At 38.1% G+C, this 14,679-nt stretch overlaps 1 protein-coding gene across 4 annotated transcripts in view, besides 1 other annotated feature; it reads left to right on the plus strand.

Moving 5' to 3' along the window:
• Window positions 1-14,679, plus strand: part of PRDM6 (PR/SET domain 6) — a 105,026-nt gene that overhangs the window by 51,154 nt on the left and 39,193 nt on the right. The window lies entirely within an intron of this gene.
• Window positions 10,760-11,265: an enhancer, noted in NCBI's record as "NANOG hESC enhancer chr5:122486848-122487353 (GRCh37/hg19 assembly coordinates)". NCBI's record gives its function as "activates a minimal SCP1, AML or CMV promoter by ChIP-STARR-seq in naive H9 embryonic stem cells {active_cell/tissue: H9 hESC(naive)}" and the evidence as "EXISTENCE:reporter gene assay evidence [ECO:0000049][PMID:30033119]".

The raw sequence follows: 14,679 nt of genomic DNA on the forward strand, positions 1-14,679 counted from the left end.
TTTTTATATTAATACCATCTTTGAAATTTATTTACATGATGTAACAGCTCTGATGGTTACATTACATCTTTGAAAGCAAAAATGTACAAACTAGCCAAGATTTATGCAGCTTCTCAGCAGGGCAAAATTATTCACTTTAAAGGGAAAAAAAGATATTTGTTGGATTTTAATTATACCATTTAGATGTTGACATGTATTAAATTTATTACAAAAGAAATGCAAAGATGACTTACAGAAAAACAAATTCTTACCTAATAAAAAATGGCACATATCTTGATAGGCTATGAATTTTTGCTTTCCGATGAAATTGTTACAAAGTAAATGTCTGAAAAACAGGTTTCATGAATAAGACAGAATCTTTACATTCAGTCTTTCTTCTGGTGCATAGGATTGTTTTATGTGTTTACTCTTGCTGAGACTTAGGCTTGTAAATGGCTTACTAATAAACAGAAGGCAAGTTGTTAATTCTTAAATTTTAATTATAGGTATTATTATTTTTAAAGTTGTTTACAGGCTATTCTTTCATCAGGCGTGTCCCCCTTTTAAATTGAACCTCAGATTCTAAGTTAAAATTTTTTTTATAAAGTCAATTATTTTTTAGAGTTAATTCTGATAATTTTTACAAGGGTGATTATAGAAATTAAATAGAGAAAAGTATAAGCCATGTGCAATTTATCATGATTATACTTCCTTGGTTTTATAAACCCAGTTTTGAGAAATTATATCCCAACTCAACATTATTTTATAAAATAAATATATCAAATTCTGATTGTTTTGAGGATATGGGAGTAATATTATTTCCTCCCTTTAAAATATTATTTTAACTTAAAAAGAAATATGATGTGCTGCAATGAGATAGATCTGAAATGATTTAGAAATTTTGAAGAAAATTTTCAAGTTTGAATTTGCCTGAATTAACATATTAAACATTATTTAATATCTTGGCATTTATGTAATTAATTCATTATATAATTAAAGCAATTGTATAGGAATTTTTCAGAATTTTTTATGATTTGTGAAAGGGGATCACTGAGCTACAGAAAAAAAGGTTTTTATTTTTCTAGAAATTCTCTTTTGTAATTGTATGTCAGGCACTATTTGCAGCCCTTGATATGTCATATTTCTTTTATTTTTTGCTTACTCTATAGAGTTATTATTCTCTTCTTATACACAAGAATGAGCTTGGAGAAATTAAGTAACTTATCTGAAGTCACCCAGCTGAGACTTGATTCCTGCTCTGCCCAGTTCCACTTAATACACAATACCCAAGGGCCCAAAATTCTGTCATTTCTTCTGTATTTAGCTATGCCTAGTTTTTCAGAAATATTGAAGTAGAAGGAAATTTGTTTTGGAAAGGGAAATTAAAACCCACCAATAGAAAATAATGATAATGGTACTGTTTGAGCACTTAGTGTGTGTCAGGCTCTTCACATGGACAATCTCATTTTATCCTCACAGAAACTCTGTAATATGTCATCTTACAAATGACTTAAGTGTTTTGCTGAATCTCAGATTCAGAACCAGGCTGATTCACTCCATGACCATGCCTCCTTTTCATTTAAATCTAAATGCACAGCTTAAACATTTGCATAACTGAATTCACTTTTAATTATGTGGACTTTTAGAAAATACATCTTTTTAACAGTTTATTCTTGACTCAACGGCTCGGAAGGCATAAATTATGATTAAATTTGCCTAGGTCTAATAAAAGATTGCGACTTAGGTTATCCCACCTCCCTCTTACTGGGTATTGAAATTTTTTTATATACTTGAAATGGTTGCATTTTGACTCTTATCCTTCTGGGTTCCAACAGTCAAGTACTTATATTAAGACATATTTACATAGTCATCAATTCATAGGGTCATGGAAATGGGCTGGAGAATCCCAAAGATCATCTTATTTAAAGCCCATGCAATGGAGCACATGGAGATTCAAGTTCAGTGACTTAGTAGGTCATACAGTTAATACTGCCAGAGTAAGAAGTAGAACATAGGATTCCTCATCTGTAGCTCATCTAGCAACTAATTAACTAGGGAATATGAGGGGGTAAGCCAGAGGAAGATTAACAATGCCTAATTTATACAAAATTTACAGCTCACAAAGGAAATGATTCTATTGAATGAGCTAATTTAATGTGATTATATGTTTTCTTTTTAAAAAGTAGGAAAAATGGTGGCATCATAGGATTTGATCAAAGCTGACAGGGAATGCTTTGGTGTCTTAATAACCATTGACTCACTAAATCCAGCAATAGACAGTGCTAAATGTTCACAAAGCTGAAATATTGAGCAGCCCAGTGTAATCTGGCCCACACACATGATTTCTAACCTAAAAATATCTGTCTTATGAAATAAACCAACCAAAGGATTCTATTTCAGTTTGCTTTTCTAGCGATCCTGAAAATGTGGTCAGGGATTTAGGTAAAACCAGTATATCACAACACAATTGCAATCAAATTCAAAATGAAAGCACAGTGAAGACCAAAAAAAAAAAAAAAAAAAAAAAAACAAACAAACCAAAGCAAAACAAAACAAAAAAAAACTCAGGATTTCTAGCTCAGGAAAGGAGGAAATGAGAGTGAGATCACGTACTTCAGAGACCGAAGAAACCCATCAACCTTTGAAGAGAACCTCCTCGAAAGTACATTAAACATCCCAAGGACTCTAACTCAGTCACGGATGTTCTCATTTCCATTTCTCCAGTCAGTACTATCCTTTTATCTGAAAGTATGGGATTTGGCAGTAGTTTTTAAAGTGTGTGTGTGTGTGTGTGTGTGTGTGTGTATGTGGGTGTGTGTATACACACCTCCTTTGAGAATCTAATAAAAACTATGAACCTTCTTCCCAGAAGGTTACTCATATGCACACACACCATTTTCTTGTGGTTTCAAGGTGTTTGTAGCCCTGCCTGAAGCTTCTCTATAGACCCGACGTAAGAGATTTCATCCATTATTTCCTTTCAGCCCACAGATGCTTCCTGTGGAAAGAAGGGAATCAATCCCACGTCCTGTCTAGAATTTAGGAAGCCTACAGGTTATAACAATGTGTAACTAGGTGCCTTCTTTTCTTTGGGGTCTGATGTGAGCCATAACCTCTGCAAAACAAAGGATCGGCAAACCTTGTGTCCCAGACATTCAAGTTGACGGGATCTCTTGGTTAGATTTCCTGGGAACCAAACCTTACGACGCAAATGCCCATCCAGAAACACAGGGCGTCTCTCTGGGAGACAGCATGGTGTCCCAGTGCTGGCTGCACACTTGCCAGCCTCCCACCCAGCTGTGTGAAAGGAGCTTTATTAGCCAGCCCAAACCAGGCTTGTTTGGAGTCCTGGGCCACTTCCATTTTCTGAGGCTCTTGATATATTGAAAAATGAAAAAAATGCCAAAATAGGGTTACAAAAACAGTGGTATACTTTAAATGTTTACCTTTAACAACTTAATGCTTTTAATACCAGAAACATAGAACTGTGCTATTCATAAGTTAATTACAGGATTTATAAAAATGTTAATTTATGGTTTGCTACAGGCAGTGTGGTCCAGTCAGGGGATCCAATTTAGAGTTGTGCAAAGAAGGCCTCCTTCTTTCAATCCTGTCAGTCTATCTCTGTGATTGTATGCATAACCTCATCTGGAAATGGCTTCAAAGGTCTAAATTTGAGGCTCTTTATGAAAGTGGAGCTGAGTGGCCCTGCTAGCACCCCCTGGAGAGGACTTGCAGAAAGCTCTTCTGAGGAGGAGCTGGGGTTGCCCGTGTCACCAGAATCCCTCGCCTTCTCCTTTGAGTCTCACCCTCCTCAGGGAGCCTGTGCTCCTGTACTAGGACAGCTTCCCCTAGAGCTCTATGAGGACTAACACAGCCATCTATGCAATGGGAAGGATCCTGGGAATGGCCAGCTGCTCTCCCCCATAGTGGATGACTTCAGCCCTTACTACACATTTTCGAATTCCTTTAAAAGGTCATTGCCTCCTTTCAAACTTCACTTAAGGATAAAGATCAAAGTGCAAATATTCTTTTCAAGAGTAGCTCCTTGACCCACCTTCACAACTAGGTATAAATTACAGCTACCAGGATCCTTATGAGAGGAGAACTGGGGCCTGAAGAGAAGCACTGAGGCATGAATGGGGTGGGGGGATGGTTTGAGGAGTCAGTGAAAGGGAAGACTAGGGATGGTAGCAGTAGTCCTCAGCGTGGGACAGTTTTAGGGATTGGAATGGGAGGAGAACCAACACTTGGAGAGAGAGAGGTACATGCTAGGCCTCTCCATTGGGTGAAGTCTTTATCCTGCTGCTTTGTAGCAGCCTCAACTCTGCAGACACTTTTGGACATTTTTAAAGGAAATGTTCATTTTAACCATTTAGGCAAGGCATACTTTTGAAAGCAACATTGTATCCCATAGAATTCTCCCAGGGCATACTCAACTCTGCCTTAGCTGTTTTGGCTCACTCACAGAGCAGAGAGACATGGCCCGGCCCTTAATGCTTGGGTACCTGGCAGGCGTCGTATCCTTTTATCTATATCCATCTGACTGTCCATCTCTTCATCCAGCTACCCATCCAAGCAGCCATCCATCCAAACAACCAACCAACTGACAGACATTCCCAACACAAGGCACTATATGCCAAGCACCATGCTAATGCCTAGGGATACCATGGCAAACAAGACAGATTTTATCCTTGCCCTCATTGAGGTTATATCCTTGCATGCTTGTTTAATGCTGCCTTTTAAATCCAGCATTGGTTTAAATGATTAGCTTTGCCTCTCTTTAAGTCCTGAGGTCCTTTTTGCAAAATTGTAATGGATTACCTTTTCCACATGTAGGAATCCCATTCTAGACAACAAATATCCAAAGGTTGGATGGGAAAATCTACAGATTTGGTACCAGATAAGATGTCTTATGATTTGTTTTACATGTCTCTCACCTATGGCACTGTAAATTACTTGAGGGCAGGGAGTGGGTCTTAGGTTTTTAATGCTCTGCACCAAGCACAGTGGCTGGCACACAGTAGCTGCTTACTAAATTTTTGTTGAAAGAATGCTGTCTGGGAAGTCAGAGGTCTAAATTCAAGACTCATCGTTACTGTCATCACCCTCTATCCTTGGTGCCTCATCTCTTGGATCTTGATGGGGAGGAAACCTATGGCAAGTAAATGTCTTTGATGTAGGCCAGTAGTGGCTCTTACATACTCCCTTTCTTGAGCACCCTGAGTCTGAGGGGTGGCTTCATCTCTTGCATAGTTGTCTGATCCAGGGCAGGACAGTGTAAACTGGGAACTGAGTGCATGCTCAGCACTGTCCCAACGTGACATAAGGAAATGTCTTCTCAATTATTTAAGATCTAAAAATATGTTTTCTGTCCTTGACAGACGGCCACTTTTCCCTTAATAAAGCATGTCTGACAATCACACTTTGTTGGTGTGGTTAGGAAAAGAATGTCGTAGACTTAGGAAAACATAATAATTTAAAGAGTGACACATTTCAGCAAAGAAATAAAGCTGTTGCCTGCTCTGAAAAGAAGTAAAACCATAGGAAACCATTACTTCATTGGGACAAACATTCTGTGTCTTTAGAAAGTTCTCACTAAAAAAAAGCGGGTGAGCTCTAGGGCATAGTGTGTGTCTGCGCATGTATAGAAGTAGTCTGTCTATTTTTTAGAGATGTTCCCTTTACAAACATTTCCCACTTAATACTTTGTAAGTATTTAATACGATTGCTGTCTAACATAGCAGTTTGCACCTAGGCTTTGGTCCAAGCTGCTTCTTGGAAATCATATTTTTCAGTAGCTACCAGGCTGAGGTGTAGTCAGTAACTGAGGTATAGTCAGGTTTCAGCAAGGTCTATTTGGTATTGTACCCACTAGACTATATAAACCAAAATTTCTGCTACAATAAAGAGTTAAATAGTACTCCATAAGACGTGTTGCACGAGGCATATGGAGATTTCAAGTGTGCATCGCAGTGTGAGCATTAACTTAAATGTGTCATTTTATAGTTCTCTAGTGCAGAACTATTTGGTGTACGATTGTATGTAACATGCAAATCCCATCAGTTCACACTACTATTATTTGTAGGATTATTTTAACAAAATAATAGTTCCATTTCCTGTTTGGTATAAAACTAAGGCTTTATTTTTAAAAGTGGAGGAAGATGTTAATACAAATTTCTCTGTGGTTTATTTTCCAAAATTGATACTTTCTCATATGTAGCATGTTGTTGTTGTTGTTGTTTCCAAAATCCATCTTTCACTGACACGACAAGGGATGCTGAGTAGCTCTTCACATTTGCTAGCCACAGTCTGAGATTATTTGCAAGGCAGGATTCTCTGATGCCAAGGGCTGAGGTCTAGTTTACTGATCCCCTTCCATCTCAGCAAAAGTGTATATGAGAGAGAAGAGAGAGAAAAGCCAGAATAGGAGGGAAGCTGGAAACTGTGGTGCTTACTCGTTCATCTCAGGATATGGATACAAACGTGGTAATAATGAAAGCTGCCCTTTGTTTACAATACACACAGTTTGTGGCAGCAATCTTTATAAGCCCCCAAATGGCACTTAATAAATAAAAGAAGATACAGGTTTTCTTGATTAGTTAGATATAAATGTTTACTCAAGCTTTCATGAGAGTTTTCTTTATTTTTACAGAGCTCTCTCTGCTCAAATGAACGCGTGAACGAATGTCTGTTTTTTTAATGTGAACTCACTATATACAAAATAAGTTTTCGCAGGATCCAAATTCATTTCATTTGTAAATTATTTAATAGATGTCAAGAATTCTTGTTGACTGCTTTAATTAAAGATAGATTTTTAAAGACTGGATTTAAGCAATTTTTAAATGGGTAGATTGTGTCAAAGAATTTTGCAGTCTGTGAAATACATTAACACTGATACTAAAAAGAGAGAGAGAGAGAGAGAGAGAGAGAGAAAACGAACAAGAAACTGCTCCATGCAAATATTTCCAAGGTTGTTCTTAGCAATGTAGGGTTACCATTTTTTTCCTTTTTAGTGTTGATGTTGTGTGGACACTGGAGACAGTTGTGCACTGTGGATATTATTGCTGCAACGGAGAAGAGGGAAAAAGATAGGTTTGTAGCAGGGCCTGTGGATGGCACCAAGCCAGTGCCGTGAAAAATGGCAAACATGTCACAGCTAACAGCTGGATGCAGAAATATTTCTCTTTAATTTGGATGGATAAAATTTTTTTCACAGCAGGGCACTCTCAAAAGAGTACAACATCAAAGAGGGCGGGTCTCACCAGTCAGACATCAGCTGGCTCCAGGATGGAGCAAAATGAATGAACTGTCAGGACTTTTCCAGCATATATGCTTTTGCCAAGTGAAAAGTTAAAGGTTCAGTGGCTTGTTCAGATCACAGACAGAATCCTGATAATGGAAGCCTGATTCCCCAAAGTCTTCCTCTGATCAACAGACAGAGCATGCCTGAAGAAGACTCCAGAATGATGGATGGCAGGCTTCATATCGACGGCTGCCGCCGCCTTCAGAGATAAGTGGAATTCACCAAATGCTCAACAGTTCTCAGGAGTGCCTGAGTCCCCATGTCATAATCCTCAGAGTCACCGACTCTCCTCTGCTAACTTGACACTTAGCAGTAGCTGACCCACAGTGTGACCAAAATACCCATTTCCATTTCTTCACATGGCCGGCTCTCTGATGAAGGCTTTGCAAACAACACCACAGGTGTTTTACAGTTCATTGACACTTTTCAACTGTTTTTCTGATTACCATATTTCAGTCTTGACTTATATGTTAGTATTATCTGCACACTCAACATAAACCTCTAATGATTTTCTAATATTTCTGGAACTTGATGAATGTGAATTGACAAAGTACAGTATATAGCTTTATATCAGCATTACTGAAAATACAGCAATGGTGTATATAACCATTACTCACTTATTTTATGGGGTATTTATTACTTGACCTTTGAAGCCACATTTTAGAATCTTGGCATTCGAGACATTCCAAAATATTCCAGACCAAAGTGAAAGGAAAGGATTTCCTTATTAGAAACAACAACAAAGTAAGTTAATTGTAATAGGTGGAGGAGGGAGAAACTATTAAAATGAAAAAATGTATAATATATATTTGAGAAAAAATAAAAAGCTGAACACACATAATATGGGCACACTAGTCGGTGTTTAATGAAGAAGCTTTATTGTAAAATATGCATATTCACGGTCTTATGCATTGTCTTTTTTTTTTTAATGTTGCTGGTCATTATGACACATTGCGATAAGCAGAAATGGGGATTTGTGTCTTTATCCATTGCATGATTGCTAGTTGTTTACATTTTAATAACATTAATTCTCACTAAATTGACATTTGTTCTAAAAATAGAAATTTGATTGATAAAGAACTTTATTAATCATTATGAATGTTTTTATGACCCTCATTTGGAGAATTTCAGTTAGTTTTAAAGGAAGAGCTCTACATTTCTCTCTGATAGGGCAAATAGGATGTGATGAAAAAAGCAATAACATGGTGGCCTATGATTCACATTTCCCAACCATATAACTGAGAGCAAATCATTTCATCTTTCTCAGCCCAAGGCTTATTACCTGTAAAACAGAATAATATTCTCAGCTTCTCTTGCAGGTCAGTTATACAGATAAATAAGTCTGTAAAAGTATTTTATAAACTCAAATGCCACACGAATATGTATGACTTGGTCATTAACTGATGTTCTTTGCTTGTGTGAAGGTGGAGGCAGATGCTTTCACTTATTTTGAAAGTTTCATTTTGTGATCTTTCTTCTCAAGCCTTGATTTAGCTTTATTTGAAAGTTTAAAACCAGAAAGGTTAGTAGGCCACACTGTTGTGGTATTTGCTGTTTTCCTCTCTAGACTGGGGAGCAGTGCTGGATCTCTGTGGATCTGAGGCTCCAGGCTGAAATCCACAAATGTCCCGGGCTTTGCATCCAGGTACATGTGACTGCACAGACAGCTCACCTACCTTGAACATATTGAGTGTTCATGCAGGAATATGGCACTGTAAGTTGGGGCTCCCTCTGGTCAAAAATGTCAGTGACTTCAGAGATCAAGCAATCCTATATGGTAGGTGATGTTCAGTGAGAGATATTGGGATATTGGGGTTCTAAAGCCACAGCTAATTAAAACATTTGTACTTGTTAATTTCAAGCATGCTCCAGAAATGTTCTCAAAGGTATAGTGGGTGCCTATGTCTTTTGCATGACAAGCGACACTGCAATGAACTAAAAACTGATTAACTTTAGGAAAGTGTGGAGTTGAAGAAATGCTTCCTTACCGTTTTCTGAACAGTATTTACATTCATATACCATTTCTTATTTTGACATAGTTTGCTTTATTTTAAAAATAGATTCATCTGGGAGATAAAATATAAACTATTAACACGTCAACTGTTTTACTCCTGTATTCCCTTGATGTCATTCCAAATCTTTTTCTTCTTTCTCTTTTCTTTTTCAACAAAAGTTGATTTCCTGGTGTGTACAAAACCCTGTGTAAGGTACCTATCAGTAAATTACAAAATGATTAAAATGCACTCCTGCCCTCAGTGAGTTTATGCTCTGGTAACCTTAGAAATAGTTTATTTGCATATGCTGCGCATAATATATTGTGGCCAGTGTCCGTGAGCAAGTTAGTAGATTATGTCTAGACTGACGTTTCTCATCTAATAATAGTGTTGGTCTAAGGCTGGCTATGTTCTTTGAGCTCTTACTAGATGTCCAGCATTGTTTTCAGTCCTTTACATATACTCACTTATTTGGTTTTTATATCAGCTCTTTGAGGTAGGGATTATTATTAGCACCATTTTTTTTTCTCAGAAAAAGAAAGTCTCAGTTTCCTTAAGAGGTTAAATAACTGACCAAAATCACGTCATCACAATTGTAACTCACATGCATTGAAACTGACACCCACATGCAAGCTCTTAACCTCTGTACTCTACACCCTATGGTCGCCCTTAACCATAGTGGTTTATATCGTGTGTTTTCACTGAGAATACTTAAGAAGGTCTCCTTTAACAACCACCGTTCACCTTTTAAAAATCTTTTATTTAGCAATAAAAGAAATCTGGTTACTAATTTTTCATAGTCAAAACAGCCAAGAATCATTTTTTTGAGTAAATGGTTGTAGAGCTGTCTTATGGACTACAAAATACTGGGCCTCTACCTCCTGACACGCAGAGGAATTGTGTAGTAAAACATATTTATCTATGTTGGCAAACAGTATGCTTTCTTAAATTTCTAATACACTTGACTATTGGAACCCCAATTTTCTGAATTTTATAGAAGGATGGGGCTGTGTAAAGGCACTGTGTAAATAGGTAGAGGATATCTGAGAAACGGTGTCTTTTTATCTGGTCTTCCCTGGATACTCCATGAGCTGTGAAAGGATTGTAAACAGCGCTGGGTTCACAGGTCTAAACTGGAAATCTCCAACGACCTTTTCTGGGCCCTTTCTGTGGTAATTGTTTATTCCATTTTAAATCATCATATGAAATTCACCTTTGTATTTCATAGAGTTGAAAGAGATTGGCTTCAAAAAGCATGTAATATTTTTTAATCCTAGTTGTTAATACTTAGAATCAAGGTTTAATTGCGTTTAGTGGTAATTTCTTCTTAAGCTTTGAGTAAAATCCAAGATCTTTAAGAAAATACAGAATTATTGTGAGAATTCAATTACTTCGGCATGCATTGGGTTCCTTCTATGTGCTGGGCCCTGTATTAGATGTATGGGCATAAAATATGCTTCCTCACCTCAGCTGCTTGGCGAAAACTGGAGGCTGGCACTTCAACACACAACCAAATGCCAGTATCTGGAGCCTTGGCACAGGGATATGCCAGGGTTGGGAGCATGGGAGAGGGCGTCTGAAATGTCTCCTCACTCCCTGAAAACTGGCTAATCCCTTTTATATGAAACCTTCGGATCCCACTTCCCCCTCCCCATGCTGAAATCCAGGGAACCCGTTCGGGGAGGAGCAGATTCATGATTAAGTTGTAATTCAAGTTCCTTTTGTCTGAGGTCATTAGCTCTCTTCAGGATATTTACAGGACTGAATGAGGTGAGGAAGGCCTCAGCACACTCCCAGATGGGGAGGCAGAGAAGTGGAGAGAAGGTGAGAAGGCCTGGTGATGAGTTCTGGTTCTGTCATGGACTAGTCGTCTCACTTTGCTTAGACTACTAACTTTTGTAGACGCCATTTCCTTCTGTATAAATGGATGGGGTTGGAACAGATGGTCTCTGAGGTCCCTTCCAAATCTGATTTTCCTGGGCTCTAAATTTAGCCACAGTGCTCGGCATTCTGGCAGAAGAGTTGGTGACTGAGTTTTTCATGGAGGCCTTATCTACTGGAGGAAATGTGCTGCCTGTGCTTTTTCACACAGGGTCCCCCAGCTCACCTTGGGCCCCTAGAGGTGTCCTGGGAACTGTCTCAGAGAGTCATAGTGGGGTTAGTTGTGCTGGTGAGGTGCTCTCATCAACCCCTCATTTTTTAACCAGGGCAAATTTCATCTGTTTTTATAGTGGAATTACATTTAAGACGTCCTTGAATTAAAGGGGATCCTTCACTTAAAAAGATCTTTGAAAGCCTGTGCTGGTAAAAATGGAGGGAAATTAAAAAAAAAAACAGAAAAAAACAATACTCTGTACTCCCCTTCACTGGAAAACTACAGGACAGAAAGCTTGGATCTTGGGTCAGATGATGGCATCTGGGAAGCACAGGAGTGATGAATGTTTGCAGTGTTTCTAGGCTGTCACTTCAAACAGTTTTCTTTGAAAGTGCCCCCAGCTGTAATGGACTGATTTTCAGTGGTGGCAGGAATTCCCTTACAGCTGGGCTTACAAATGTAAATGTCTAATGAGGCCAAGCAGGTAAGTAAATTAGTGAAGTAAGTAGCATGTAAGACAGTAGAGAGGTAGAGACTGCAGAACTGGAAAAGCTCAAGCCCAGTCTAAAGGGAGCCATCTTTTCTTATCTTAAGGGGATCACTGCCAGAGATCGAGGACCCATCTTTTGATTTTTCAGAAGTTAGAAATCTCAACTAGATAAAATTAAAAAAATTTTTAAACATTGTTCAGGAAAAACAAGGTTGGTCTATTGCTTGAATTTAGCCTGAGAGCCACTAGTTTGCAAAGGAGAAACACTTTGCTCAGAGCCACCAATACACACAATTCCTATCATTTGGAAGATGGTATTATGCTTATGTTAAAACGAGCTTAGATCAGTCACTGGCTTACACCATTTCTATGATTATTGTTGTTATCATAAGCTGGCAGCCTTGGTAAATGACAAAGCAGTGGACAAGCCACTCACAGACAGTTGTTGTAACGTGCAACCCTGGTGCATAATTTACTCCTGCTGCTCTCATTTAAAGCTAGATTTTGTGCAAGGAAAATAAGAGCATGGGAGAGAGTGGCACTTCCTAATATCCAGGATCACAATACAACTCCTTTCTTGTGGTAGCTTTCGGTTAATGCCATGCATGATTTGTAATGAGTGAGAAATTGTGTGATCATTATTTCAACCATATGTGTGATGTCCCAATAAATAGAATTAGATTCAATACTGTTAAAATCCGCTTAAACAGGTAAGAATTAGGTCTCCCTTTTTCTTATATTTCTACTCCTATTGATAAAAGAGAAAGAACAGACCAAAAGCAATGGTTTGAAAATAGCAGCAACAACAATCACAAAAGAAATCAGAGGCTGATAGTATAGTGATATGTATTACAAATATTTTCCCAAGAGGATAACAGATAGTTTTTAACATTAGGTAACATAGCTTCTCTGTTTTAACAATGCATGCAAAAACTGAACTACAAAAAAAAAAAAAAAAAGGGCTAGGTTTTCTTTTCATTTATTTTTTTCTCTGATGTTTTTTGAAATCAGTTAAGAGACTCTTGCTATACTTTAGGTGAGAAAAAACATCTTATTTGGGCTAAAATGGTTAACAGTGGAGAGAATGACATAAATGCACTTGAAAAGTACGTAGAAGACAAATTCAACTGGATTTGATGATGGCTAGGCTCTGGGGGCTGAGGGAGAAAGCAGTATCAAGGTTGAATGAGTTTGTTCAACTCTGGGTATGTAGTCGTGGGGTTTAAGTAGGTGCATGGGATTTGCGTCACAGTTTCATGTGAAATATTATAATGTTAGTATTAGCTAAAGCCAGGAAAACCAAACCTCATGCCATGTGCTACATTGTGTGATATTTGGGAAAAGCCTGACAAATAGCCTTTTACTTTTCCTCAAGGCAAGTAGCAGTTTATATCAGGCAGGCAAAAATTGTAGATTTCCTTGTAGTCACGATATACTTAGTTAAGATTACTGCTGAAACAAGAGTGTAGGGGGAAACACTTTTCATACTAATTTTCAAGGTGGACTGGTTAGTGGCTGGTGATCAAATGAGCCAACGGTTAAGACAGCCCCCACTAGTTAGACATGTTAGAGGATTTTACTTGCTGTTGAAGATAGTGGCTTCATGCACAAAGGAGGATTGTTGTGTGCACTTCTCAAAATGCTTCATAATAATTTTCACCAGCAGTCCCTGTGGAAGGTTTATTCTTGAGGGAAGGGAGGGTAGGGGGCTGGGTCATCAACATTTCTTACTCCATCAAAGATTAACAGTGGCATTAAGGGAACCAAATGGCTTTGGTCAATGTTGCAATTTTGAAGAAACTGGTTAAGATTAAAAATTTCAACTCTGAGGCTGTCAACAACAGTTTCAGAGTTGAAATTTTGAATCTTAACTAGTTTTTTTAGAAAAACAAAAACAAAAACAAAACCCCACAACAACAAAAACAGAAACAACTACAGTGTAATCAATCCTAAATATGTTGTCTATCATTAGATTGTTCATGTAGCAGATGTAGCCACCCCATGCAATGTTTCCATTTTTTGCCATTATCCAAAACCTAGAAATTTAAAGAAGTCATTAGCCTTAAATAAATATAATCCAAGAATCTCTTCACTCTGCTCAAGCTAAATTGATTATCAGCTGTGATCACCCTGGTGTGTTTACCCAGTCATAACTTCTCAATTGTTTTTAACAGATTAATGTTTGAATTTCATTGTGGGGTTAGTGGAAAGGTTGGGGTTGGAGAGGAATGAGTTCAAGAAAAGCAAAAAATAAAATAAAATAAAATAAATAAAGTAAAAAAAAACTCAGCTGTTTTTAAATGACTAGTAAAAAGAAACTGTCATCACTAAGCCCGTTTGCACCCCCTCCCCCGGAATAGAACTGCTGAGCTAAACTAATATGAATGACCATACTAATTTTGGAGCCTAAATGTAACCAGTGAGGCTCTCTCTAACACTTATTTTCCATGCTTATTTGAAAAGGAAAATTGGAAGGGCGGACTAGCAAGAGTGAGAGACACGATTTGTCAGGATGCTCTGGAGAAGTAGCTACCAGCAGAAGGATCCCACTGCTGATTTTATCTGAAAAGGTGCAGTGTATGATGGTCCTTCTGAGAACCATACCCTTAGGAAATTCTTTAACTGTCCCTGCTTCCTGGATGGCCCCAGGACTGGGAGTGACTTTCTAGAATTGCTGTGGATACATGACCGCCTCATCTCCCACTCCTCTAGATACCATGTCTCCCTAAGTGCCCTGAATCTGAAGTCGTTTCTGGAAAGGCAAGCTGTTGCCTCTGCTGTTGGCACTGACTCTGTGTTTGCTTGGCTCCCTAGT

Source organism: Homo sapiens, chromosome 5, assembly GCF_000001405.40.
Source record: "Homo sapiens chromosome 5, GRCh38.p14 Primary Assembly".
NCBI classification, from domain to species: domain Eukaryota; kingdom Metazoa; phylum Chordata; class Mammalia; order Primates; family Hominidae; genus Homo; species Homo sapiens.